We start from the raw sequence: 26,537 nt of genomic DNA on the forward strand, positions 1-26,537 counted from the left end.
GGAGCAGATGGACAATGAACAATAACAACAACAAAACAAACATGCACTAGAATGTCAGGTGGTGGCGAGTGCTATAAAATATAAAGCAGAGTCACAGGGAAGACTAGTGAAGGACTTGGGGCTGCTGTTTTAGACTAGGACTGTTGAGAGGACATCGTAAAGGAGCAGCCCTGAAAATATCTGGTGAAAGGTTATTTCAGCAGAGTAAACAGCAAAGACAAAAAAGAGATTGGCATGAAGAGGATGGTGTGCTCAGGAGGTAGCTCGGAGTCCAGTGTGGCGAGAACACCATAAGCCATGAGACAAGGGAAGAAGACAAGACGAGCAAGGGTCCAGGGTCTGATCGCAAGTCGCTTCAGTGGCACTCTACACCCCCAACACCGCTCTTTCACCCTGCATGCTTACTGCTTTCTACATTGTCTGTCTTCCCCTCTCCATGGTGTACTCTTTGAGACCCAGGGCTGTGTTTATTCTGCTCATTACTGATTTCAAGCATGTGACATGTTAGATTCTTAGTAAATATTTGAATGACTAAGTGACTGAATGGAGTAACTCAACAACACTGAGTTTATTGATTCAATGACAAATCTCTGAGAAGATGGCATGAGCCCATATCACCAATAGAGAAGAAGAGGCTCAGATTGCATAAATTACTTTCCCAAAGGGAGAGGTGAGTTGTGTGGCTGAAATTCAGCTTCTTTGTGATCAAAGCTCTCTCTCACAATACCAATATCGGCATTGCCTGTCCTAAACCAAGAGGTAAGGTACAGACTCTAGCATCCAAACATCTCTCAGCCCATTCTCATTCTCTATCCCTCTGCTGACTGAATTTGAAATACTATCTGTCATGGACTGAATGTTGTATCCCCATCAAATTCACACGCTGAAACTCTACCCCCAAATGTGATGGCATTAAGGAAGTTGGGACTACGGGACATAATTCGACTTAGATGAGGTCATGAGAGTAGGGCCCATATGAATTGGATCAGTGTCTTTATAAGAGTCCTAAGGGAGCTTGCCACGGGAGCACACAAGGAGAAGTCAGCAGCCTGCACCCCAGAAGAGGGCCCTCACCAGACCCCACCCCCCGGCTCCCTGATCTCAGACTTCCAGCCTCCAGAATGAATGGAAATAAATTTCTGTTATTTTACAAGCCACCCTGTCTATGGTACTTCATTGTGGCAGCCAGAATGGCCTAAGACACCATATCTGAGCCATCCATTAGGGAAGTAGTTGATGGGGGGCAGCAACCCAGGAGCCCACAGATGTTTTTATACTTGACACACAGAATGATTTTTAAAAACTGGGAAACATCATCTTAAGAAAATCAACATTTGTGGCCTATCTGAAATATCTGAATATGTGGCAATGCAGAGTTCACTGTGTCTCATGGAAAAACCCAATGAGTTGAATATTTACTGTCCCTTGATGGAGGGTAGATCTCTCTAATGGCCTTCGATGCTTTTTCCTGGTCCACTTCACTTGTTTAGGTCACTTGCTTGTAGGGTGATAAAGTGTGCTTTAATCCCCTACAGCAAATGGACTCAGTGTCTCTGATTTGGGGCTTTGGAGACCGGGGCCAATCTACTTGTGTATTTCCCTTTCCTGCACACTTAAGTACTTGAATTAAGAACAGAATGACTGTCTAGAGAAGCCTTGAAATCAGCAAATCAGGAAACAAAGGTGATGCCCCAAAGAGTTGTATGCAGCAGAGGAGATCGTAAGAGGAAAACAGGCAAGGCAGTGGTGAAGGCTGTGTTCCCTCCACCCAGCTCAGCATGTGGGCCTTAGGTTCTTACCTGGGCAAAAGGCCCACATGGCTTCAGTGCCAGCTGGCTGAGCCCCTGCTTCTCCCTTGATGACTTAACTCAGCACTCCAGCCATCCAACACCATTTAGGCTACTGTTCTATTCCAGTTGTTTATTACAGATATCTATGCATACCAGGCAGTACTGATTCAAGAGTAGTCTGGCTTGGGGGAACTCTGGAAGAGAACTGGAAGGAATTCTCCATGCCAGGTTATGTAATCCAGGGTCTACCACAAATCCTGGCACACAGTTGCTAAATACTTTCTGAAAATGAATGAACTTTGGGGAAGTTACTTGTCCTGCTTCATCTGTAAAGCAAGAGGTTTTCACTTAGTTAATTTTCAAGACCTCATAGAGCTCCAAAATTCTGTGGTTCTATGGGTTTCTAGGTAGTTACATGCAAAGTAGAGGTCAGCAATAAATATCAGGGACCCATTTGTTTCCTGGAGAGTGATCCAAACAACATAGTAAAACAGATGTTAATGGTGGTCAACAAAGAATCAGAAAGCTTTGAATTTTTCACTGCTGAATTGAGATAATGCCATTAGTCATAGCACTGATATGAGTGGATAGATCAAGAGTTTATATTTTGCCTATGAGTAGAGTTTGTTTGCCAAAAATGAATTCATCAAAAATTTGCCTCCACAACTCCAGAAACACGGCTGTAATGAGTGTAAGATACAGGTGGGGCCAGCCTGCGTGGAAGGGCCAGGCAACTGGGGCTGCCTGGCTGGTATAATTTAAAGAGCACCCAGAGGCCCCTGGCTCAATAATTTTCACCTGTTAACCTGTCCTGGTGCCTAAAACACCCACTTAGTCATACCTCTGAGCTAAGGCCCTGAAGCATGGTCTCCAGATGCTCCAATATGCTAAGAGGGATTTTAAATCAAAGAAGCTGCAATCACTACCATGCTCAGAGATTACTATTCTCAAAATATAATAATGATACTTGTAACCTGTTGTTGAGTAGAAACCCTATACCCAGCATGTCACATGTGGCGGAGTGCTTTTTGTTTCCTTTCACCTACACAAACACCTGTGTGGCAGGTACTATATTTATTCATGTATATAGAGGTTAAACAACCCTAAGTGGATTCAAACCCAGATCTCCTGGTTTTAGACCCTCTTATTTTTTTTTTTTTAAGGAGTAACTTACCTGCTGTGAAGTGCTTGGTCTTAAATATACAGCCAGATGAATGTTTACCTACACATACCACCTCATACAGCCACCACTCCAACCAAGATATGGAAAATTTCCATCATCCCAGGTGACTCCCTCCTGTCTCCTCCCAGTCAGTCCCCCAACACTCCTCTCCTACAAAAAGAACAGAGCCCTAATGCTTGACTTTTTGGCCATGCAAAGGGAAGAGGTAGCTCAGGCAAGTTCAGAATGAAAGAAAACAGTCCAAGGCAAAGAATATTGGGAATGTGCAGGGAGGGGAGGCACCACGAGGGAGATGCGTCTTGGAAGAGACAAGGGCTTGTTCTCAGATGCCACCCAGGTAGCTGGGACAACCCGCAGCATCTCCCGCAGCATCAGCATGAGGATCCAAGCGTGCAGAGATCCATGCAGAAATACAGGTCCTGCATTTCAAGCAGTGCTCGTCTCTCCCACTGCCGGGAATCCCAGTCTCTAACAAGAAACAGAATGCTGACAAATGAAAAGGAGATGTGTTTGCTGGCACAGAGTCCACAGAGTGGGAAGACAGGCCAAGCCTGGGATCCCACAGGAAGTTTCGAACCCACTTTTTAATTCTTAGTTTAGCTATCATCAACTCTTCCCAGATCCGATGTTGTGTTTTTACTTTGCTAAGTTTAAATCAAGCTGCTTCTATTGTCTTTCCTCCTGCCTGGCTGCTCAGGCTGTCAGTTTGAAATTTTATGACCTCCTCACGCTGCTGCACTGCACTGCATTAATTCTGTTTTCTTTAGGAGAGCTCTTTTGCAAGCTGTCAAGTGTTGACTAGCAGTTTGTATTTATTTTTATCAGTTCTTCTTTAAATATGTATCATTCTATCTCCAGATCTGAAGTCCTAAATGGTTGGCAGGCTTAGGAGACACACCTCAATGAAATCCGGTGACTTAAACTACCATTTGATCCAGCAATCCCGCTACTGGGTATCTACCCAGAGGAAAAGAAGCCATTATGAAAAAAAAATACTTGCACACGCATGTATAGCAGCACAATTCACAATTGCAAAATCGTGGAACCAACCCAAATCCCCATCAATCAATGAGTGGATAAAGAAACTGTGATATATATGTGATATATATGTCATATATATTATATATGTGATATATATGTGATATATATGTCATATATATTATATATGTGATATATATATATATCACATATATATGTGATGGCATACTACTCAGCCATAAAAAGGAATGAATTAACAGCATTTGCAATGAGCTGAATGGGATTGGGGACTATTATTCTGAGTGAAGCTACTCAGGAATGGAAAACCAAACATCGTATGTTCTCACTGATAGGTGGGAGCTAAGCTATGAGGATGCAAAAGCATAAGAATGATAGAATGGACTTTGGGGACTTGGGGGAAGAGGGGGAGGGGGTGAGGGATAAGAGACAACAAATATGGTGCAGTGTATTTGAGTGATGGGTGCACCAGGATCTCACAAGTCACCACTAAAGAACTTACTTATGTAACCAAATACCACCTGTACCCCAATAACTTATGGAAAAACAAAATAAAAAACAAACAAACAAAAAATGCCAGGACAACTGTAGACAAAGATCCAAAGCTACTATGTAGGTTTCTGCTGATGGGGAAAGAGGAGTGAGTGTGGGTAAAAGGGAGGGAAGGTGGAAAAAATGGGAAAAGAGAATGAGGAGTGAAAGGAGACAGGGAGAAGGTAAAGGAAGAAGAAGAGGAAGAAGAAGAAGAACAAGCAGAAGAACAAGCAGAAGAAGAAGAAGAAGAAGAAGAAGAAGAAGAAGAAGAAGAAGAAGAAGAAGAAGAAGAAGAAGAAGAAGAAGAAGGAGAAGGAGAGAAAAAGAGTATGAGAGGGAGATAGAGAAAAGATAAGGGAGCGGAGAGGGAGAGAGGAAGGAAAATGGAATAAGTAAAGATGAGGAGATGTATTAATAGTTCAGACTTTCAAAGAACAACAGAGGAGTCTACAACACAAGCAAAATGGACTTTTGAAGGCTTAATCATCTATGTTAATTCTTGATAATAACCAAATAGCAAAGCACTGCCAAATATCTGCATCAAGGGGTGCCTATAAAAAACCTAAACACCAAAGATCTCAAATATTAAATATTCTGCCCTGTAATGTTCATAAAAATATGCATACTTAGCAGATAATGGGATCTTGATTTGGCCTTGATTTGGGGTAAGTATATGTTTGGAACCAGAAATATGTTTGCTCATTGTCAGTCATGTCACATTTTACACATCTCAGAAATTATTACGCATGGGAGAAATAGGAACAAACAGAGATAGACTGGGGCCACTCTTTTCTTTACAACTCCAGTTAGGGAGGATTTTTTAGCTATAATTGACTATGCTAAAACTGGACACTGAATTTTCAGAACATTCTATTTAAGAAGTCAGGAGAACATATCGTGCATCTTGGAAAAGTTTTATTGGCATCATTACATCTTTTTTCACTGTTTATGGGGGTAAATCTTCAGTTTGAACTGAGCTACCTAGACTTGCACATCCCTCCCGCATTTCCTCCAGGAGCTCCAGAGAGCCCAAGTTTTCCTTCATGTGTTTGTCATCAGAGTTAGAGAAGGCCCCAGAGATCTGCTAAATGGTGGGTCTGTTTGGTTAGGTTTTGGGGGCAATAGAACATTTCAACTTTCGTTGTTTACTTATCTTTCAAAAACATTCCTTGCTAGTCAAAAGATTCATATAATTAAAAAAAAACACAACAAATGAAGAAACTCATTTTGAAGCACATAGAAGTCATGGTTCAAATGTGTAATAATGTTCTATTGGTATTTTTCCTAAGTTTATAAACATAAATGCACTAATACTTATCATGTAAAAGTTAGAATTCTGGATCTACTAACCTAAGTTCAAATCTTAAAAAACCTATTTAAAGAAGGCATTTTAGTGAACTGGAAACACTAGATTAGATAACTTTACTTTTTGTTCATCTTATCTATTAAATAAGTATTATTTTTGGGGAAGTCATATGTTTATTTGTTAATTCCAGACATATTCTAATGAGCACTTAGTATGTGCCATACTCTGTACTAAAATGAGGATATAGAGATGAAAGCCTCCTTCATGCCACCCTGTAATTCCTGACAGAATGTAACTAAATTGTAACAAATTATTTCAAAGCTTACTGCCAATTTTCTGACTCTGAACATTCAACTATGAACTCCATGAGGGAAGGGACAACACATGGCACATGGTATTTATTCAACAAATATTCATCAGATGAATTAATTTATCATAATAAATTAACATTTACATAACACTTTCATCCATTATCTTATTTAACCCTCACAATAACCCTGTGAGATAGGTCCTATTCTCACCATTTTATAGTTGAGGAAACTGAGAACAAGAAACATTAAGAAACTTGCTGAAGGTCACAAGCAGAACTGGGATCAAAACCCAGGCAATCTGGTGTCAGAACTATATTCTTATCCACTATACTATACTGCCTATGAATGTACCACTAAGTAAATGGATGAGTAAATAAATGAATTTAAATAATTTACAGCCTCTAAGCTTTAGGATCGTTAATTGCAATATAAGAATATTGGACTAGAATCAGTGCTCCTCAACTTTTCCACCAAATTTTAATCCACTGTCTTTTAATTTAATCACTTTACCAGATTATCATCAGGCGCTGTCTACTTACTAGTTCCTGACGAGCAGGAATGGTTCACGCTAGTGGCCCGTATGCCACTGATACGCCCTTACATTTCTGTTCCTGCTACTTGAGTCATATTATCCCCAAAACTGTTTGTGTCTTTTGTACTTACATAACATGACTTAATTAAATATTATTTAAATGTAAAGAATATGAGTACAAAAAGAAGTAGAGCTGGTATTTCTATGAAAGCTGAACTAACAAGGTGGTTGATATGCAAGGATAGATTCTTGTCTGTATGTTTAACATATTTTGAAATGAATAGTGAATGTGGAAACACTAAATTAAATGGCTTGGAAATTTATGATTAATGCAAGTCATTAAAAAATTGCTTCCAGTAATGTGTTTATGAGATGACTTTTAAAGAATTGTAGAACATTTTGAGGGACTTTTCAGACCATTTGCTTTTCTAGTGGCTTGAATTTCTCACATGGACAATGCACTTAGAACTATTATGAGCAAGAAAGACAATGGGAAATGACAATCGATGAACCCATTCTCATAGAAATCCCCTTAGACATCAAAAGACAAGGGGGTGAAAATACATTTATGTTTTTTAAGATAAAACATTTCAGGCAAGTACATGTCATTTTCTATGATTCCCTTATTTAGTCAATATTTTAGTGGCTATTTTGAAGCTTTATGTTTTACCCTAAAGATTTTAACTTTGCACCCTACTCTGTGGTAGCCATTAATACTGTTCACCAAATCTTTCTCATTACCATTTGTGTACATATTGTTTAAAATCGGTGAATTTCTAGGCTAGGTTCTGGTAACTGAAGGGCTTTTATAAGTACTGTATATTGTCTATACCAAAGGAATGCTGCAAACACAGTCTGGAGCAAAATGGGAACCAACATGTAAGAGATAATATTGAGTATCAACTTGATTGGATTGAAGGATGCAAAGTATTTTTCCTGAGTGTGTCTGTGAGGGTGTTGCTAGAGGAAATTAACATTTGGGTCAGTGGATTGGGAGAGGCAGACCCATCCTCAATCTGGGTGGGCACCATCTAATCAGCTGCCAGCGAGGCTATTAGTAAAGCAGGCGGAAGAGTGTAGAAGGACTTGAGTTGCTGAGTCTTCCAGCCTTCATCTTTCTCCCGTGCTGGATGCTTCCTACACTCGAACATCAGACTCCAAGTTCTTCAGCTTTTGGACTCTTGGACTTACACAAGTGGTTTGCCACGGGGTCTTGGGCCTTTGGCCACAGACTGAAGGCTGCACTCTCGGCTTCCCCACTTTTGAGGTTTTGGGATTCGGACTGGCTTCTTGCTCCTCAACTTGCAGACGGCCTACCGTGGGATTCACCTTGTGATTGTGTGAGCCAACACTCCTTAATAAACTCCCCTTCATATATACATCTATCCTATTAGTTCTGTCCCTTTAGAGAACCCTGACTAATACACAACATCTTTCTAAAGTCAGGCTTAGAAATTCTAATCCAGTAACTTAAGATGTTTCCTTTCTCTGATAACAGAGTTGATTCATATCTGGCTTCTAAGCCACCATTCATAGGTATAGTCAAGAAAAGACCACCAAAAACAAGACCAACCAATCCACCTCATTTTATGGTATGGGTTTCAAATTCCAATGACCTCAATTCAAAGGTAAATTTACAAAACTTCTGTAAAATACATGTACTATCAGAAATGGGTTCTCTGCCATTGGTGAGCCGACAGCTATATGAGCCTGTGTCATGTTCAAGATGCATAGAAAAAGACTGTTTGCTATTAGGCCACGGAGAACAGCATTAAGTTCAACATATATTGATCCATGTTCAAGTAGTTTCCTTTCTGCTTCTGGAAGCTGGTTAATTTTTCTAGTTATGATGCCTAAAATTACGTTTTCCTTGAAAGTGCTATCTGGCTCCTGATTTTCCATCTTGAGCCTTATATTCTCCTTCCTCCAGGTTCCAGTGCCTGTCCAGGTCTTCCTCAGACATGCCAGGGCTCACTACAACTTTTGTTCAACTCACCTGAGTGCAGCCATCTTTGGCTGACAGGTGACTCTACTGTTTACCAAATATTTCTAGTTCTTCTGGACACATGGTAGGATTGCCCTTCCCTGCCCCGCTTTGAAAATAGCTGGGTCAAACGTGACATGATTTGACCAATGAAGTGTGTGTGTGGAAGTGACATATTCTACTCCCAGGTGGGAGTATTAAGATCTAGCTCATTATTTCCTCTGGATTTACTGTTGTCTTTTTTTTTTTAGTGGGGGACAGAGTATCACTCTGTCCCCCAGGCCAGAGTGCAGTGGCGCAATCTCGGTTCACTGCAAACTCCACTTCCCGAGTTCACGCTATTCTCCTGCCTCAGTCTCCCATGTAGCTGGGACTACAGGTGGCCGCCACCACGCCTGGCTAATTTTTTGTACTTTTTTTTAGTAGAGATGGGGTTTCACCCTGTTAGCCAGGATGGTCTCGATCTCCTGACCTCATGATCTGCCCACCTCGGCCTCCCAAAGTGCTGGGATTACAGGTGTGAGCCACCGCGCCCGGCCTACTGTAGTCTTTTCTTCCACTAAGGCAATACGTAGAGGTCTAGATAAAGGCTTCTCTGTTCATCTGAATCATGGAATGAAGAATGCTAGGAACTCAGCCCCCAGCTGACCCTGACGGATGTGTAGCATAAACAAGAAATAAGCTTTGCTGTTTTAAATCACTGAGATTGAAATTTTTGTTAGTGTTGTCAGAGTATACATAATCCATGATATATGTGTACTTGTTTACATATATAAACGTATCCTCCCCCTTCCCATCAAATTTTAAGATAATTTAGCAATCCAGAAAGACACACCACATTTATCTGGTGACTGTGTACACTGCCCATAGTTTTTTCCCAATTTGAGAAGCATAGAACTAGTTGTTCTTCAGGATCCCTTCAAAAGCTAGCGTTATGTCATGCTATGTATGAGGAGAGAACAGGCACCATGTCACTTAACTAAACCAAATACAATTAAATTAATTTGATTGGAGAGCTGTTCTATCTGATTGTGGGGCAATTGATTCGATTGCTATAGAGTCCATTGGATTTGGTTGTTAGCGTCTCAGTTGTCTTAATGAGGGGATCGGATTGCACAGTGATCCCACTGATTGTTTTGGCAGTTGGCCTACCAACTGTTGGCCAGTCAGCCAGAGCCACAGTTTGACCCCAGGACAGGATGTAAAATTAATTTGCTTGAATGCAACGTTCAAGCATTTTTCTTGGTAAGCTGGTATGTGTCAAGTACTATCATATAATAAATTATACTTATCAACTGCAAATATTTAAAATTTACATTCTTCCTTGTATACATGCCACCAAGAACTCTAAATATTTTACAATGCTATGCACTGTGGGCCAAGCTTAAGTTTTAAACTCTGTGCAGACCTCCGCTTCTCTGAAGAGCTTCATTCCAACATTCCTTAGGGTCAAAAACTGACCATTGCTTGCCATTAATAACAACTGATTCTGATTCCATCATTTAAAATGAAACTATTTATGCAATGGTGGAAGAATGAACTCTACACTCCAGGAGACCAATGATTTGTCTATTCTATTCACTATTGTGTGCACTCAAACAATGCCTGGGCTTGTTGTAGATGCTGGCTACCTATAGTATCTGAAGATATTGGATGAATAAGTGAATAAACAATTAACTAATAATTCAGAAGCACCAAAATTTCTTAATTTCAGCTATTTTCTAGAAGTGAGGAAAGTGCTTTTCTGAATATGTGAAGCAGTATAACAATGATTAAATGTTTTGACTTGGGAGTTAGTTGAGTCTGAATTTGATTTCTGATTGTGATGTTGTTGCAGATTGCACTTCACAAAGATGCTTACAATGACATTTCCCATTCCACACACTCTTTCACAATATGGACTTGATACTCACCCATCCTGAGATAGTCAGTTTCTCTACTCTTGGTAACCTGAATCTGGGTCAATCTTTTGATTAAGTTTGAGCAACTTAATTCAGCAGAAGTGATGATGCACCAGTTACAGACATAGCTCTTAACTGATCTGGCAACTTTTGCTTCCTGCCTCTTGGAAGCCAGCCGCCAGATAAAAATTAGAATCCTCTGATATTTCAAGATTCTGGTTGGATTGCTGGATGGATAATGAAAACAGAGAAAAGTAACGTTTTAAGGGAAAATAGGATGGATTCATACCAAACATGTTGAATCTGCTTTGTTTTGGGGACACACAATTTTAGTAGGGAGTTGGCTACATAGGTTTACAATTTAGGAGAGTCATATGTACTGCAGATGCAGACTTGGGAGTTGACAGCTAATAGATCATAATTGGACACATGTGAGATGACCTAGAAAAAGCACATAGGATGAGAAAGAAAGTGGGCCTGGGGCATAAGTACAAGGAACATCATCATTTTAGGAAAAGGCAGAGGAAGAAAAACCACAAAAGGGTAGGTAGAAACCCAGGAGAATTCTATATCACAGAAGCCAAGAGAAGAAGGGACTTCAAAGAAGATGTCAAATGCTGCTGAGATGACAAGGGAGTTGAGAACAGATCTACTTGGAAAAATCAAAAAGCTCTAGTCTCCGTTTTCAGACTCCCTTGCAGCTAGGGTTTGGATTTGAATGAAGTTTCCCCGGTTAAATGAACTTACTTGATATCTGGAAAGTGAAACAGAGCAATCTTCCTGGAACTTTGGCTTTTTCCACACCCACTGATGATACATTTATAGAAGTGGTAACTCAGTTCTATTTCTAGAGAACATACTAGCCATTAAGGTCCTGATTATCAAGGACATTAAAAGCAAAATCAAAAAATCTAAAATAACTTTTAAGAAGACAGCATGGAACTTAATGTGCCAAAAAGTGCTGTCAAGTTGAAGTTTTTAGATCTGGACATAAAATGTGAAGATCAGACCCAGAGTATCATCTTCATTAAATTTGAATAACAAGACCCATTTAAGTCATAAAAACATCAGTTTGCATTAACCTATACACTGCATAAAGAGCTGAAATATGGAGAAGCAAAGTGGATAAGATGTGCTTGAAGGACGGGGCATGCAGAAACCCTGCTCCAAGTGATGTACGGCTTTGGGGTCTCTAGATGCTAAAGCAGCAGACAGACTCAGGTTGGCTTCTGCTGTGCATCCAAGAAGTCAAATAGATAACTGAGAAGGAACCAGGTTCAGCAGATAGTGGTGGCTGTCAGGAGCTAAAGGGCTATGCTTACTTGTATGGTATGTAAATTACTTTGGACTAATATCAACCTTTTCAACTGCTATAATTGGTGACAATTTCATAAAGAAATCTGGAATTTACAAAGTCTTTCCCATTTTATATCTCTGTTATATGACTTTCTTCTGAGAGGGTTAGGAAAAACAATTGAAGAACCTTCACTTTATGGGCTAAATTATGGCAAGGCAGGGTTAGAAAATTTTCTCTAAGGTCATAGCAGAAGCTACTTAAGATTTACCCAAGTTGCTAAATAATGCTGAGGATACCTCCTTAAAACATAGTTGCTTGCAGATTTAAAAGACCTTTATCTCATGTCATTCTTGCCACAACCCTATAATGATAACAAGGCAAGAGTTCACTCCTAATTTCATCTTACAAGTGGAGCAACTGAGAGTCTGGGGAGTTTGATTTAACCAGGTCAGATTTCTGGAAGCAGCAGAGCAAACATGTAACTCTGGTCTTCTCTCTGCTAGTCTTCTGGTGAATTCAGTAAGTTGAGGTACAGCTCGACCTTTAAAAGCTGGGGCTTTCATAGTTACTGAGCAACTCCTAATTCATGGAGAAAAACCAAGAAACACATCTGGGATAGCCTGGGACTTCAGGGTCAAGAGACAGCTAATTTGGTATGCTAGAAAAAATGGTAGTATGCAAATATAGTGCTGTAGTCAGTGGTTCAGCATTGATTATTACCAAACGCTAATTCCAACTATTAAATTTCTTTGTACCTTAAGTTTTTCCAGTCTAGTGTGAAGGTGGCCTGGGGGCTTAAATCACAAGTGTCCATAAGAAAATGGCCAATACTATCATGTGTCCTACTCTGTGGGTCCACTTTCACCTCCTCCCTTGGAACTGAAACACAATGCTGCACAGCTACAAAGTATGTGCAATCATTTTTCATTACTTTTCCTTTTGCCTCTATCAGAGACCAGAGTTTTGGCTTCTTTATTGTGTCATTAATTTCAGTTATGTTCTGAACATGGAGTGAAGAGGTCTTCAAGGCTCTGGATGACTGACAGTATTTAGACAAGCGTAATTAAATTTCTCCTGTTTGGAGAATCTTGGAAAGATAAATAAATCACTGAAACTTTCATTACGAAAACCACCATTTGGCAGTGGAGACATTTCTCCTGGGAAAGCAATGAAGATTTATGTCAGGAGGAAGGGAACAGCGAGTTGATCAGACCCTTCCAGGAAGACCATTCCTATCTGAAATGAACTGAACGAAGGACCCAATTCAGCTGTCTCTGCATTCCACTGCTCTTCCTGTCCCTGACCCTCTTTTCCAGGTTTTTTTCTGGATAAAGATGTGAATTCAAGATGTTTCCTTCACTTATGTTTTTCAGATAGGGTTGTGGTAAGGAGGCAGTGCCGAAAGGCGATAATATTCTGGCCAACACTCCAAATCAGCTGTTTGATACACAGGCCCTCCGGCTACCCCCTGTACTCACTCTTCCAGGGCCAGGCTCCTCCCACGGCGCCTTTTTACCCCAGGTGCAGCCCTAATGCTAGTGAAAATCCCAGGGGTTTTCTGGCTCTTTGGAATTCTCACCTGGGGCAGTCACCATCCTCCTATGGTCCTTGCTCCTGTTTCCTCCCTGCAGCCCAAGAACATCTGGGAATGTTTATGATGATCTCACAATCATTAGGAAAAGCAAATAAATTTGTATGCAAACAAATTATTAAATGGCATTAAGGAGTTACTGTTAATTTTGTTAGGTTTGTTAATGCCATGGTGGTTAAGTAAATTATAAAAAATTTCAAAGAAGTGGGCAATGCATTCTGAAGCATTTAGGTGAAATGTCATAATGTCTGAATGTGCTTTAAAAATACTTTAGAGGCCAGGCATAGTGGCTCATGCCTGTAATCCCAGCACTTTGGGAGGCTAAGGTGGGAGGATCACTTGAGGCCAGCAGTTAGAGACCGGCCTGGCCAATATGGTGAAAATCCATCTCTACTAAAAATACAAAAATTAGCCAGGCATGACGGTGGGCACCTGTAATCCCAGCTACTTGGGAGATTGAGGCAGGAGAATCACTTGAGCCTGGGAAGCAGAGGCTGCAGTGAACCGAGATCAGGCCATTGCACTCCAGCCTGGGTGACAGAGCCAGACTCTGTCTCAAAAACAAAACAAAACAAAACAAAACAAATTTTAGAAAAAAAGGGCGGGAGGGGAAGGGATATATTAGTCAGGGTCCTGTCAGGAGACAGAGACCACATCATTTATTTTAATAGAGAATTTAATAGAAAGGGATTATTAACAAGATTACTAAAAGGCAAAATAAAAGAAAACTAAGATATCATGGAAGTAGCAGCTGTAGGAAACCCTAGGGTTCGGGACAAAGAGAAGAGGTTGTATTTATCAAAATGTAGCAGCTTGAAGGAGAGGCCCCCACCCAGCTAAAACACAGACCCGTGAGAAGAGCCCTAGTGTCTCTGAGCTCACAGATGGGGCACCAAAGGGTGGGACTCCCAGAGTGCCCCAGCTCCCTGTGGCTGGTATCTTTGAGGAGGGTAATGAAGTTGGTTATGTGAGTATCATAAAAGCTGCCAACTGGGCCGGGTGCGGTGGCTCACGCCTGTAATCTCGGCACTTTGGCAGGCCAATCAAATCACTTTTGGGAGGTGGATGGATCAATTGAGCTCAGGAGTTCAAGACCAGCCTGGCCAACATGGTGAAATCCTCTGTCTACCAAAAATACAAAAATTAGCCGGGCGTGGTGGCGCCTGCCTGTGATCTCAGCTACTCCGAATCGCGTGAACCCGGGAGGTGGAGGTTACAGTGAGCCGAGATCATGCCACTGCACTCCAGCCTGGGCGACAGCGCGAGACTCCATCTCAAAAAAAAAAGAAACTGCAAACTGGAAATTACCTGGTAAAGAAGCATCGCTGGGTGGTGTTGACAGGAAGCCAGTAGGAAGAAGCAAGTCCCCTTTGCTTTCCGAGCCTAGAGCCTCCGTCTTGCAGAGTCCAACAGGGAGCCAGTGGGCAAGGCAAAAGTGAGCGTTGGAGAGCCCCAGCCCCAGCATGGCAGGGAGAGCAGAGAAGGGTGGGTTTGCAGCTGAGATCATAACTCACCAACCTGCATGCAGGGGATAGTCCTGAGGTTGAGGAATAGAGGTGAATTGTTGAAACTGGGTAATGGGTACATGAGGATTCATTATGTACTATTCTCTTTCAGTACGTTTGAAAATTTTTCATGATATGAAGTTAAAAAGGGAGTCGATAGGCTCACTTTAAAAAGAACATCTTTTAAACTGTCAGTGTTATTATTATCATATTTTTTGGAGACAGACCCTCTGTCACCCAGGCAGGATTGCAGTGGCACCATTATAACTCACTGCAGCCTCAACCTCCTGGGCTCAAGCAATCCTCCGACCTCAGCCTCCCAAGCAGCTGGGACCACAGACATGCGCCACTACACCTGCCTAATTAAAAAAAATTTTTTTTTGTGCAGACAGCATCTTCAACTCCTGATCTCAAGAGATCCTTCTGCCAAGGCCTTCCGAAGCACTGGGATTACAGGTGTGAGCTACAGTGGCCAGCCTATTATTAGTATTAATCCATTAAAAATATCAAAATACTGTTAATGGAAATTTAAAACATTTTTTTCAAGATATATCTATAATCCTGCCATTCAAAACAAAATCAAATTTTCTTTCTTTTTTGTTTAGACAACATTTTACAGATTTGCTTTATCAAGAATCTCAAATGCCAAGTGTAGCCAGCCCATTTCAGTGGCCTGAGTTCAGTTTTACTCTTCCCACCCTTTCTTTGTAGACAGTTTCTACTTAGAGACAGAATGAGTTCTCAGTCTTCAACTACATGTAAGGATATGATGTAGCTCATATATACGTTGCTTTTATGTACATGAATTCCTTATATATTTCTTACATATATATTCCTAATATAGACATGCCTTTAATATATTTCTTTAATCTTTCTCCATGTATCTTTTTTTCATTCTTTTCATCATGCTTACTCTCTTTTTGAACTCCCTCCAGTAAGTCCATTAACACAACATAATCTACAGAGTTCAACTGAAACATAAAGCAATACTATTGCTGGAAATGACTAGTTAGCTGAAACGGTGCTCTCTGTCCCGGAGGCCAAGGTGGGGCATTGAGTTCTTCTTTTCCAGCTATAGGCTGCCTCTCAGCCCCAGCATGGAAATTTTATATAACATGTTGAATGGCAACTGGAAGGACATGAGTGATTCCATGCAAACTGCAGCCCCACTGCAAAGACAAAGCAAAAATCCCAGAGGCAGTAGCTTGGTAAAGTCTTTATTACGAAAGTACAGCCTTAAAATAAAGACATATTTATTGGTATGTGGTCTGGTTTAACATTTTCCTCATTTGTGGATATATAAACTGTTCTTCCATTCAACATATCTGGGAAAATGAATGGTTACTTTCAAAGGTAGCTGCGGTTTGAGCAATGACCCTAAAACATGTTAGAATTCATCTTAAGTAGAAACTTCTCTTTGTTTGAGAAAATACTTTATTAGATTTTTTAAGTTAATCAAGCATAAAATCCAGGCAATTTCATATGGAAAAAGCAAAAGATAAATGGATCTTTATGAGAGACTGGTGGCAAATGCGGATGTGTGAAGGGGGCTGGCCGAGGAGCCAGAGGGCTTGGCAGGGTCAGGATGATGAGGAGAAGGGACAGGGGAGTGGCAGTGGCAGGGAGAGGGGTAGGCGAGGCAGGTGGAGAATGGCTTCCAGAAAGACAGAGAAGAAAAGTGGCAATATGTGGCATCCCAATCCCTGATTAGGGGGTAGTCAGTAAGAAATGTTTTGTGTTGGGGAAAAGGGGATCAATGTCTAGGTCACTCCTCTCTGTTAGTCAGTTTGGATTTCTTTTCTGCTCCTCATTGTAATTGCCTACCCTTCCCATCCCATCCCGCGGAAGATTATTCCAGTCTAAAGAGCACCTTAGGCCAAATTAGAAAAAAGATACTACTTCCTCTAAACAAAAGTAGCCCTGTGCCATGGCTCCTGGCTTGGCCCCAACCCCTATTGGGGCCCTAGGCTAGATGCCATTGAGCGGTGAATGATCTCTACAACTACAGGAAGTGGCCTTATGCTAGCTACCTTCCAGGGTCCCAAATCTCCACTACAGTATGTTACGCACAATGGCCTTTTGTCAGCAGAGCTTTGATGGAAGGAAAGGAAAGGAAGAATATTCATGCCTGGAGTGAATCAGTGAAGACACCAGCATCAAGAGGGAAGAAAGAGGGAAAAACTGACCTCAAACCAGGAATTCAGACCAAGAAGTTATAAGGAAACATAACTTATTTTTCTTGCCACAAACCCAGTCACCCATCTATCCTGGGGAACCCTTGGAAACATTAGGAATTTGTGCCCCTCCATCATATACGAATATGTGGATTTTAAAGGAATGTGTAGCCCAGAGGACTGGAGTGTTTGGATATATTTGGGATACACACATTTTACTGAATGCTGACTTTCTGCCAGGCACTGTGTTAGCAGGATTGCCAGATAAGATGTAATGTACCCAGTTAAATTTGAATTTTAGATAAATAACAAATATTCACCTTTACTGTAAGTATGCCCCCAAATATTGCATGAGAAATACTTATTCTAGAAAATTATTTGTTGTTTATCTGAAATTCAAATTTAACTGGGTGTCATGTATTTTTCTTTGCTAAGTCAGGCAAATCAACATGTTCGATGTTGAGTATAAAAAGGTCAAAGAGACAGTAAAACAATAAGGAACTCATAGTTCAGGGAGGGTCTCAGACAACCAGCCAAGAGCAATGCAATGTGATGAATGCCTGGTGGGATTGGCACGAGATGCTCTGGTTGCACAGAAGAAGGGCACCTACCTTGATCTTGGGAAGAAGAGACCTAATTGAGTCCTAAAGGTTTAATAGGGTTATCCAGGTAAATTATGGATAGATAGGTTGGGTAAGATATTGATTCCGGCAGAAGGAACAGATGGAGGAAGGCTCTAGAGTTAAGAGAATACCTAAATACAAATCAGTGTGCTGTGTACAAGTAAAAGAGTAAACAGTGTGTAAGTCAGAGGCACAGTGTGGCTGGGACATATAATGCTGGCTGAATAGGGTCTTAACATGCCATGCTGGGAACTTTAGAATCTCCTGAAGACAACAGGTCCCCATCAAAGAGGAGTGCTTTGAATAGCTTAATGATTTGGAAAAAGTGTCATTGCTGGAATGTGAAGAATGGATTAAAGAGGAGCAAGACCGAAGACAAGCAGAAAAGTCAAGATTCTGGAACAATAATCCCATCAAAAGTGGATGCTAACCTAAAATAAGATAACGACCAAGGATGTAAAGAATTCAAGGAGTCTGGCTGGGCACAGTGGCTCATGCCTGTGATAGCAGTACTTTGGGAGGCCGAGGCAGGTGGATCACCTGAGGTCAGAAGTTCGAGACCAGCCTAGCCAACATGGTGAAGCCCCCTCTGTACTAAAAATACAAAAAATTAGCTGGATGTGGTGGCGCATGCCTGTAATCCCAGCTACTTGTGAAGCTGAGGCAGGAGAATCACTTGAACCTGGGAGGCAGATGTTGCAATGAGCTGAGATCGCGCCATTGCACTCCAGCCTGGGCAACAAGAGCGAGACTCCGTCTAAAAAAAAAAAAAAAAAAGAATCAAGGAGTCTGAGAGATAATGAGAAGATGGAATAACCAGGACTTGAACATGGGTTGGAAGTGGAGCAGTGAGGAAAAAAAGAAAAGAAAAGTACAAAACGACTCTGACATTCCTTGTTTGTGCAATCAGCTAAGTGGGTGATGTTCTCATTCACTAAGAGAGAAAATACGTGAAAAAAACTGGAGGCAGGAGATGTTGAGTTTGTGTTGAGATGCTTGAGGGTGAAAATTCTGAGGGCCACCAGAGTGGGAGTGTACACTAATCAGTTGGGTACATGGTCCTAGAGCTCACGCTTTGAAGGATCTGGGATGAAGATGTGGATTGAAGGTTATCTTTTATTTTTTATAATTGTATTTGTTTTCAATTCCACAAAGATACATAAATATATTTGAGTCATAACAAATTTAAGCAGTAAACATAAATTAATGTATCTCTTGCTTACCCTCCACCCTCCTACTTCCTCACTACAGGTAACTGCTACTGTTTTCACCTGTACTCTTCCGGAACTTTTCCCATGCTTTTACATATGTAGAAGTACCTACAGAAGCATGTTTTGTTTGTGAGTTATTTGTTTGTTTACCTGAAAGGCCTTGAGCTGCCTTAAGTCAGGTTGCCCAGTAAATAGCTTCTGAGATTGAAATTTGTGTGCAGAAGGTTTTTTTTTCTTTTTGAGACGGAGTTTCACTCTTTCGCCCAGGCTGGAGTGAAGTGGTGCGATCTCGGCTCAATTCAACCTCCACCTCCCGGGGTTCAAGGGATTCTCCTGCCTCAGCCTCCAGAGTAGCTGGGATTATAGGCACCTGCCACCACGCCCAGCTAATTTTTGTATTTTTAGGGTCTTGTAATGTTGGCCAGGCTGGTCTCAAACTCCTGACCTCAGGTGATCCAACCGCCTCAGCCTCCCAAAGTGCTAGGATTACAGGTGTGAGCCACCATGCCTGGCCTGTATGCAGAAGGTTTTGTAACAAAATTTATTTTATTTAAGTTCTGGGATACATGTGCAGGATGTGCAGGTTTGTTACATACGTAAATGTATGCCATGGTGGTTTGCTGCACATATCAACCCAATAACCCCCAAATGCCCCGCCCATCAATGATAGACTGGACAAAGAAAATGTGGTACATATACACCATGGAATACTATGCACCCATAAAAAGGAATGACATCATGTCCTTTGCAGGGACAGGGATGGAGCTGGAAGCCATTATCCTCGGCAAACTAACATAGGAACAGAAAACCAAATACTGCATGTTCTCAATTATAAGTGGGAGCTGAACAATGAAACGTATGCAGAAGATTGAATGGGGGGAAATGAACTGATGGAACAGCACCTGTAGGGGAGTGAGGGAAGCAGCTGGGCTGAAGAGCACGTTGAACTGTGACAAAAATACAGAGGATGTTCCAGCTAATCTCATGGGCACTAAAACTAGGATAGGCTTTCAGAGTTGACCCAAATTGAAGCAAGGGGGCTGGAATATTATATCCTCACATTCACCAATCATTGAATGTGAGCTAGCCCTGAGGAGGATGCACAATTTAGAAAATATGACTCCCTTCAGCTGAGGACAATTCCTAGGGAGGGACTCTGTAGTGATCCTTCAGCAGCCAATGCTCCTAGCAGCAGGAGAAATGTGCATTGATCCTGAAGAGAAGACCTAGGAGGCACATCACAGCATCCACTATGCAGGCTATACAAACAGTTCTGAAACTTGCTTTTAAGCCTAAGTCTATGTCCTGGAGATCTACCTCTTTTAGTAGTTAGATTGGCTTTACTCTTTTAAATTGTTCCATAGTATTTCAGAGAATAATGACCCACAGTCTCTTTAATCACTCTTTTCTTGATGTATTTTCAGTTGTTTCTAACTTTTTACTCCTAGAAACAATACTGCAGGACAAATGGATTTCCAGCTTCTGGTGGCGACAGAATAAGTCCCTCCCAGAGGATGCCTGTCCTCCTCTTCTCCTAGAAACAATGACAAACCCTGGATGTATTCATAATAATATGAAAACAACCACCTGACATGACTGGAGTGTGAACAGAAGCAGATTGACTCTTGCAGGGAGTCAATGCTTGAAGAAGAGGAGCACCGTGAGGAGTTCTGCATTTTGCCAACTCTTAGTCAGACTAATGAGGTCTATTAGGCATTTGGCAGCCCAGTAGCAAGAGCACTGATGGAAAACCTTCAGCCTTTCTGGTCAGCAGAATCAGAAAAGTAAAACTGAAAAACTGCTACCGAAGCAAGTAGAAGAATCCTGGAAGGAAAGAGAAAGGAGATAGAAAAAACGATCCCTAAATTCTGTCTGCCCATATCTTAGGCTGATCTCTGAACTATGCATGCCTGGGACAGAATAAAGAAGCTCAGCTAAGCAAATGATTCGAATCAAGACCAGAGCTGCTGCTCACAGAAACAGAGTTTGCACTTCAAGCCCAGCCAAGAAAATTGCCTGAGAAAGCAAAGGGATCAACACGTGTTAGAGAAAAATAGCAGAAATCAGACTCTTCACAATCTCACATTCATAATATACAGGATACAATCCAAAATAATTTGACATATGAAGTATCAAGAAATGGAGCCAACTCTCAAGGGAAAAGAAAGCCAACCACATCTGACCCTGAGATGAACCAGATGTTGAAACCAACAGAGAATAATGTTAAAGCCGTTCTTTTAACCATCCTTGATACAGTAAAGCAAAATACGCTCTTGATGAATAAAATATAGGAAAATTCATCAAAGACATTTAAACAAAAAAGGACCAAAAGGAAATTCTAGAACTAAAAAAATATAATATCTGAAGTTTTAGAATTATTGGATATACTTAGTAACCAAACGGAGATGTCCAAAAAACAAAACAAAACAAAGAGTAAATGAACTTGGAAATAAATCAATAAAATTATCTAAGGAGATGAAGAGGAAAGAAAAAAGATTTTTAAAAATGAACAAGGGACCTCTTAAATAACACAAATGGTTCAACAGACAGGCAGCCACAGGAGAAAGAGGTAGAAAAAAATTTAAAGTAATAATGGAGGAAAGTTTTCCGAATTTGTTGAAAGACAGAAATTTACAGGTTCAAGATTCTTTGTCAACACCAATTAGAAGAAACATGAAGATGCTCACATTGAAACACATCGTAGTTAAGCTATTGAGCCAGAGATAAACAAGAAACCTTGAAAGCAGTAAAAGAAAAATGAATCATTACATATAGAAGAACAGAATTTGATTAAGAACTGAATTCTCATCAGAAACAATGGAAGTCAGAAGACAGTAGAATGACATCTATAAAGTGCTGAAGGAAAAAATGCCTCTCACCCCAGACTGCCTAATCCAACAAAAAATATCCTTCAAAGATGAAGGCAAAATAAAAAACAATTTCAGACAAAAGAGAACTAAGAGAAGTTGTTGCCAGCAGATCTGCACTATAAGAAATTCCAGTGGAAGTTCCTCAGGCTGAAAGAAAAAGAATCCAGATAGAAATGTGGACCCTCAGAGAAGAATAAAGAGCATCGGAAATGGGAAAAAAAGTAGCTGGGGGAATGCAAAAGATTATTTTTTCTTGTTTCTCTTAATTTTAAAAATAAATCTGTTTAAAGCAAAAATCATGACAGGAATCTATAATATAGGTATATATAATTCATAAAACAACTATAACACAAAGAGGGGTAAGGGGTGGAGACGACCCTGTGTATTTGCAAATTTTTCATGTTTTAAGCAGTGTTATTCTGTTACCATGTTAAATGTGAAAAGTTAAGGATATATTTTGTAATCACTATTCAGCTACTAAAAGAAAATGTGGATGCCAGGTACGATGGCACACGCCTATAATCCTAGCACTTGGGAGGCCAAGGCAGTTGGATTACTTGAGCCCAGGAGTTCAAGACCAGCATGGGCAACATAGCAAAACCCTATCTCTACAAAAAGTACAAAAATTAGCTGAGCATTGTGGCACATGCACCTGTAGTCTCAGCTACTCGGGAGGCTGAGGTGGGAGGATCGCCTGAGCCCACGAGGTCAAGGTTGCATTGAGCCAAGATTGTGTCACTGCACTCCAGCCTGGGCAACAGAATAAGACCCTGTCTCAAAAAAAAAAAAAAAAAGCAAAGATGCATAGCTGTAAAGCCAATAAGAAAATGTAAATGAAATTTAGAATATTCAAATAATTTGTAAAGGCAAGAAATGAAGAACATAGGCTAAAACACCACCATAAATAAATGCAATTATTATTTGTCAACTTATATACATAGTACAAATATATACTCTCCACATACACACACACAACTAAAAAAAATTGCAAAAAAACTCAGAGGAGACAAGTAAAACACAAATAATAAAATGGTAGACTTACCCAAACATATCAATAATTACATTAGATATTAATGGATTAAACAATTCAGTCAGAAGGCAGCAATAGTCAGAATGCAGTTTATAAACTAACAAGAGACACACTGTAATTCTTAAGACACAGATATGCTCTAGGTAAATGAATGAAAAATATATATACTATTCAAATGAAAAGCATGAAAAGGTTCATGTGGCTATACTATCCTCAGGCAAAATAGATTTCAAAATCTCAAAATTGTGTCTCCTAAAAAGATATCCTAACCCCTGGTAACCATGAATGTGACCTTATTTAGAAATCAGATCTTTACTGAGGTAATCAAATTTTGCTGAGGTCATGGTGGATTGGGGTGGGCCCTAATCCAATGATTGGTGTCTTTATAAGAAGGGAAAAATATGGCCACACAGACACAGAGGTACACAGGGTGAGGAAGGTTATGTAATGATGGAGGCAGAGATTAGATTGATATATCTACAAGCCAAAGAGCACCAAGGATTACAGGTAACAGCTGAATTCTGGAAGAGGCGAGGAAGGATTTTTCCCTAGAGCCTTCGGAGGGAGAATGGCCTTGCTGATACCCAGATTTCTGTCCTCCAGACTGAAAGAGAATTTCTTTTGACTTAAACCACCCTCTATGTACTTTTTAATAGAAGCCCTAGGAAACAAATACACAAGACAAAAAAATTAACAGAAATAAAGAGTGGTATTATAATATTATATTATAATAAAAGGGTCAATTCATCAGGAAGACATAACAATCATAAAGTTTATGCAACTCACAGAAGAATTTCAAAGTACAGGAGGTAAAAACAGACATAATTACAGGAAGAAATCGACAATGCCACAGTCTTGGTGATTTTATGAGTCTTTTCTCAGCAATTAATTGGATAACTAGACAAAAAAAATCAGCAAAGACATAGAAGATCTGAGAAAAACACTACCAACCACATAAATATATAGAGGAAATAACAGTTGTTACTCTTGGAACATTCTTTTCTGCTTTCCACAGTTTTCCTGATGTCCTCAATTATAGTCTTGGTCTTTCTTCTGATATGCAACATATTTACCTTCTTTCCCCCTCAAATTGTGGTTGCAAATGTTTTTAATTTGCTTTTTAAAATATATATCTTATATCTTTTATGTGTTTTTTTAACCCTTTCTTCTTGGCTAATCATTTTAAAGTCCTTTTTTCTTATCAATATATATCTTTCAGCTATTTCTTTCTTCTGTTTTTTAAAAAATTCACACTTCTTTTGTAGATTTCTGGTTTTCTTAAAATGGTAATAGCAAACACTTCTACGAGCTCTTAATATGTTGTCATTAATCATTTACCACAATGCTCTGAAGTAAGCACTATTATTATCCCCACTTTAAAGATGAAAACATTGAAGCACAGAAAAGTTAAGTAACTTGCCCTAAGTTATACAGACAGAGTATGGTGAAGCCAGACTCTAACCAGGAGTTGGATTCCAGTGCCTATGCTCTTAACTATTGGGGTATGGAGTCTGCCTCTTTAGATTGTCAAGTGAAATATTTTGGTTCCTGTTTTTGTAGCTTCTTTTTAATTTTCTCTTTCAAAGCCTTTTTCATTTTCAAAGGCTTTGAGCGTTCTGTCAGTTATACCATTATGCATCACTTTCTGAAGGGAATGCGTTCTGAGAAACATTGTTAGGTGATATTGTATGAGCATCATGGAGTGTACTTACACAAACCTAGACAGTAGAGTCTACCACAGGCCTACTCTACCTGTTATAGCCTATTGCTCCTAGGATACAAAGCTGTACAGCATCTTGCTGTGCAGAATACTGGAGGCAACTGTAACATAATGGTAAGTATTTGTGTATCTAAATATAGAAAGGTACAGTAAAAATACAGTATAAGAGATAAAGAGTGCTACATCTATACAGGGCACTTAACATGCATGGAGCTTGCAGGACTGGAAGTTGCCCTGGGTGAGTCAGTGAGTGAGTGATGAATAAATGTAAAGGCTTAGGATATTATTGTACACTACTGGAGACTTTATAAACATGATACACTTAGCCTTCACTAAATTCATGAAAAAGAAAGTAATTGTGGTATGACATTATGATGCCTATAAAATTGCTAGGCATTAGGAAATTTTCAGCTCCAATATAATCTTATAGGACCACCCTTGTATATGTGGTCTGTCATTTAATGAAACATTGATATGCAGTGCATGAATGTATTATTCTTTATCAAATTACTTCTTCTTGCTAACTCCTTTATCATCATGAAAATGTTTTTTCTTTCTAAGCCTCCTGGAACTTGTGAATGGGATTTTATAAGGCAGTCTTTGCATATTGCTTAAGTTCAGGGTCTTGAGACAGGAAGATTATCCTATTTTATCTGAGTGGGACCTAAATACAATCATATGTATCCTTAAAAGAGAGGAAGAGGGAGATTTGACACATACATGCAGGGCAAAGCAATGTGAAGACAGAGCAGAGAGAGATTTGGAGATGCTGACTTTGTAGTTTGGAGTGATTTGGCCACAAGCCAAGGAATGTTGGCAGCTACTAGAAGCTGGAAGAGGCAAGAAACAGATTCTCCCCAAGAGCATCCAGAGGCAGGGAAGCCCTGCGGACACCACCTAGTGTTGGTGTTGATTCTACCCAGGGATACTGATTTCAGACTCCTGGACTCCAGAACTGTGAGAAAATAAATTTCTGATCTTTTAAGCCACACAGTTTGTAGTAATTTGTTATACCAGCCATAGGAAATGAATTCGCCCCTCCTCTACTAGCTGCACTATTAAAACCTACTTCTTGTTGCCTTCTTTTCATGAAGAAGAGAGATAATTTTGTTCTTTCATTTAAAAAAATATTGATTATAAGCCTACTGTGTGCTAGTCTCTGGGCATAAACATGTGAAATAGACAATGTCTTTATTCTGACAGAGCTTGGGTCAATGTTGAGCAGTGCTGAGTAGGGTAATGTCAAACAAAATGCAATAAATTATGTGTTATGAGACTGAGAAAGGATATGGGGTCACACAGGAGGGGTATGAACTTGAAAGGACTAAGGGTGGCTTCCTCGAGGAGGTGGCATTTAAACTGAGACCTACACAAAAAGTAACTGTGAGCCAGGCAAAGAGTGGTGGTGTTCCAGACACAGGCAATAGCACGTGCAAAGGCAGTGGTCAGTTCATCTCTTAGGTCCTTTGCACCTCAAGACACCCTTTTTTCCTTCAGTTAATTCATAAAGCTTATAACGTATTTTCTTCTTAACCTGTGCTTAGTAGCACAGGTTAAGCTACTTTAGCTATTTTCAGGTCCCTAATCTGAAAATTTGAAATTCAAAGTGCTTCAAAATCCACAACTTTTTGAGCATCAACATGATGCTACAAGTGGAAAATTTCACATGTAAATAACACAAACTTTGTATTGTACATACATTTTATATAAAATTACCTTCAGGCTATGTGTACCAGGTGTATATAAAACAAGTGAATTTTGTGTTTAGACTTGGATTCTTTCCCCAAGATATCTCATTATGTACAGGCAAATATTCCAAAATCTGAAAAAAAGCCAAAGTCTGAAATAACTTCTAGTCTTGAACATTTTGGATGAGGGATACTCACCTGTATTTTATTCATGTTTACTAACAATCCAATGATAAAAGGTAATTTAAAAGTAACCAGTTTCCTTGCATTTTCTTCTTATATCTATCAGTA

General features: G+C 40.1%; 1 long non-coding RNA gene and 1 pseudogene across 1 annotated transcript in view, besides 1 other annotated feature; both read right to left on the reverse strand.

Moving 5' to 3' along the window:
* The window catches only part of OSMR-DT (OSMR divergent transcript), a 152,617-nt gene that overhangs the window by 62,521 nt on the left and 63,559 nt on the right, over nt 1–26,537 (reverse strand). The window lies entirely within an intron of this gene.
* On the reverse strand, nt 8,080–8,680 carry LOC100132789 (transmembrane protein 126A pseudogene; annotated as a pseudogene).
* Nucleotides 9,594–9,888: a silencer, noted in NCBI's record as "tiled region #7781; K562 Repressive non-DNase unmatched - State 22:ReprW". NCBI's record gives its function as "represses a minimal TATA promoter and a strong SV40 promoter by Sharpr-MPRA in K562 cells {active_cell/tissue: K562}" and the evidence as "EXISTENCE:reporter gene assay evidence [ECO:0000049][PMID:27701403]".

The sequence above is a fragment of the Homo sapiens genome, chromosome 5 (assembly GCF_000001405.40).
Source record: "Homo sapiens chromosome 5, GRCh38.p14 Primary Assembly".
Taxonomy (NCBI): domain Eukaryota; kingdom Metazoa; phylum Chordata; class Mammalia; order Primates; family Hominidae; genus Homo; species Homo sapiens.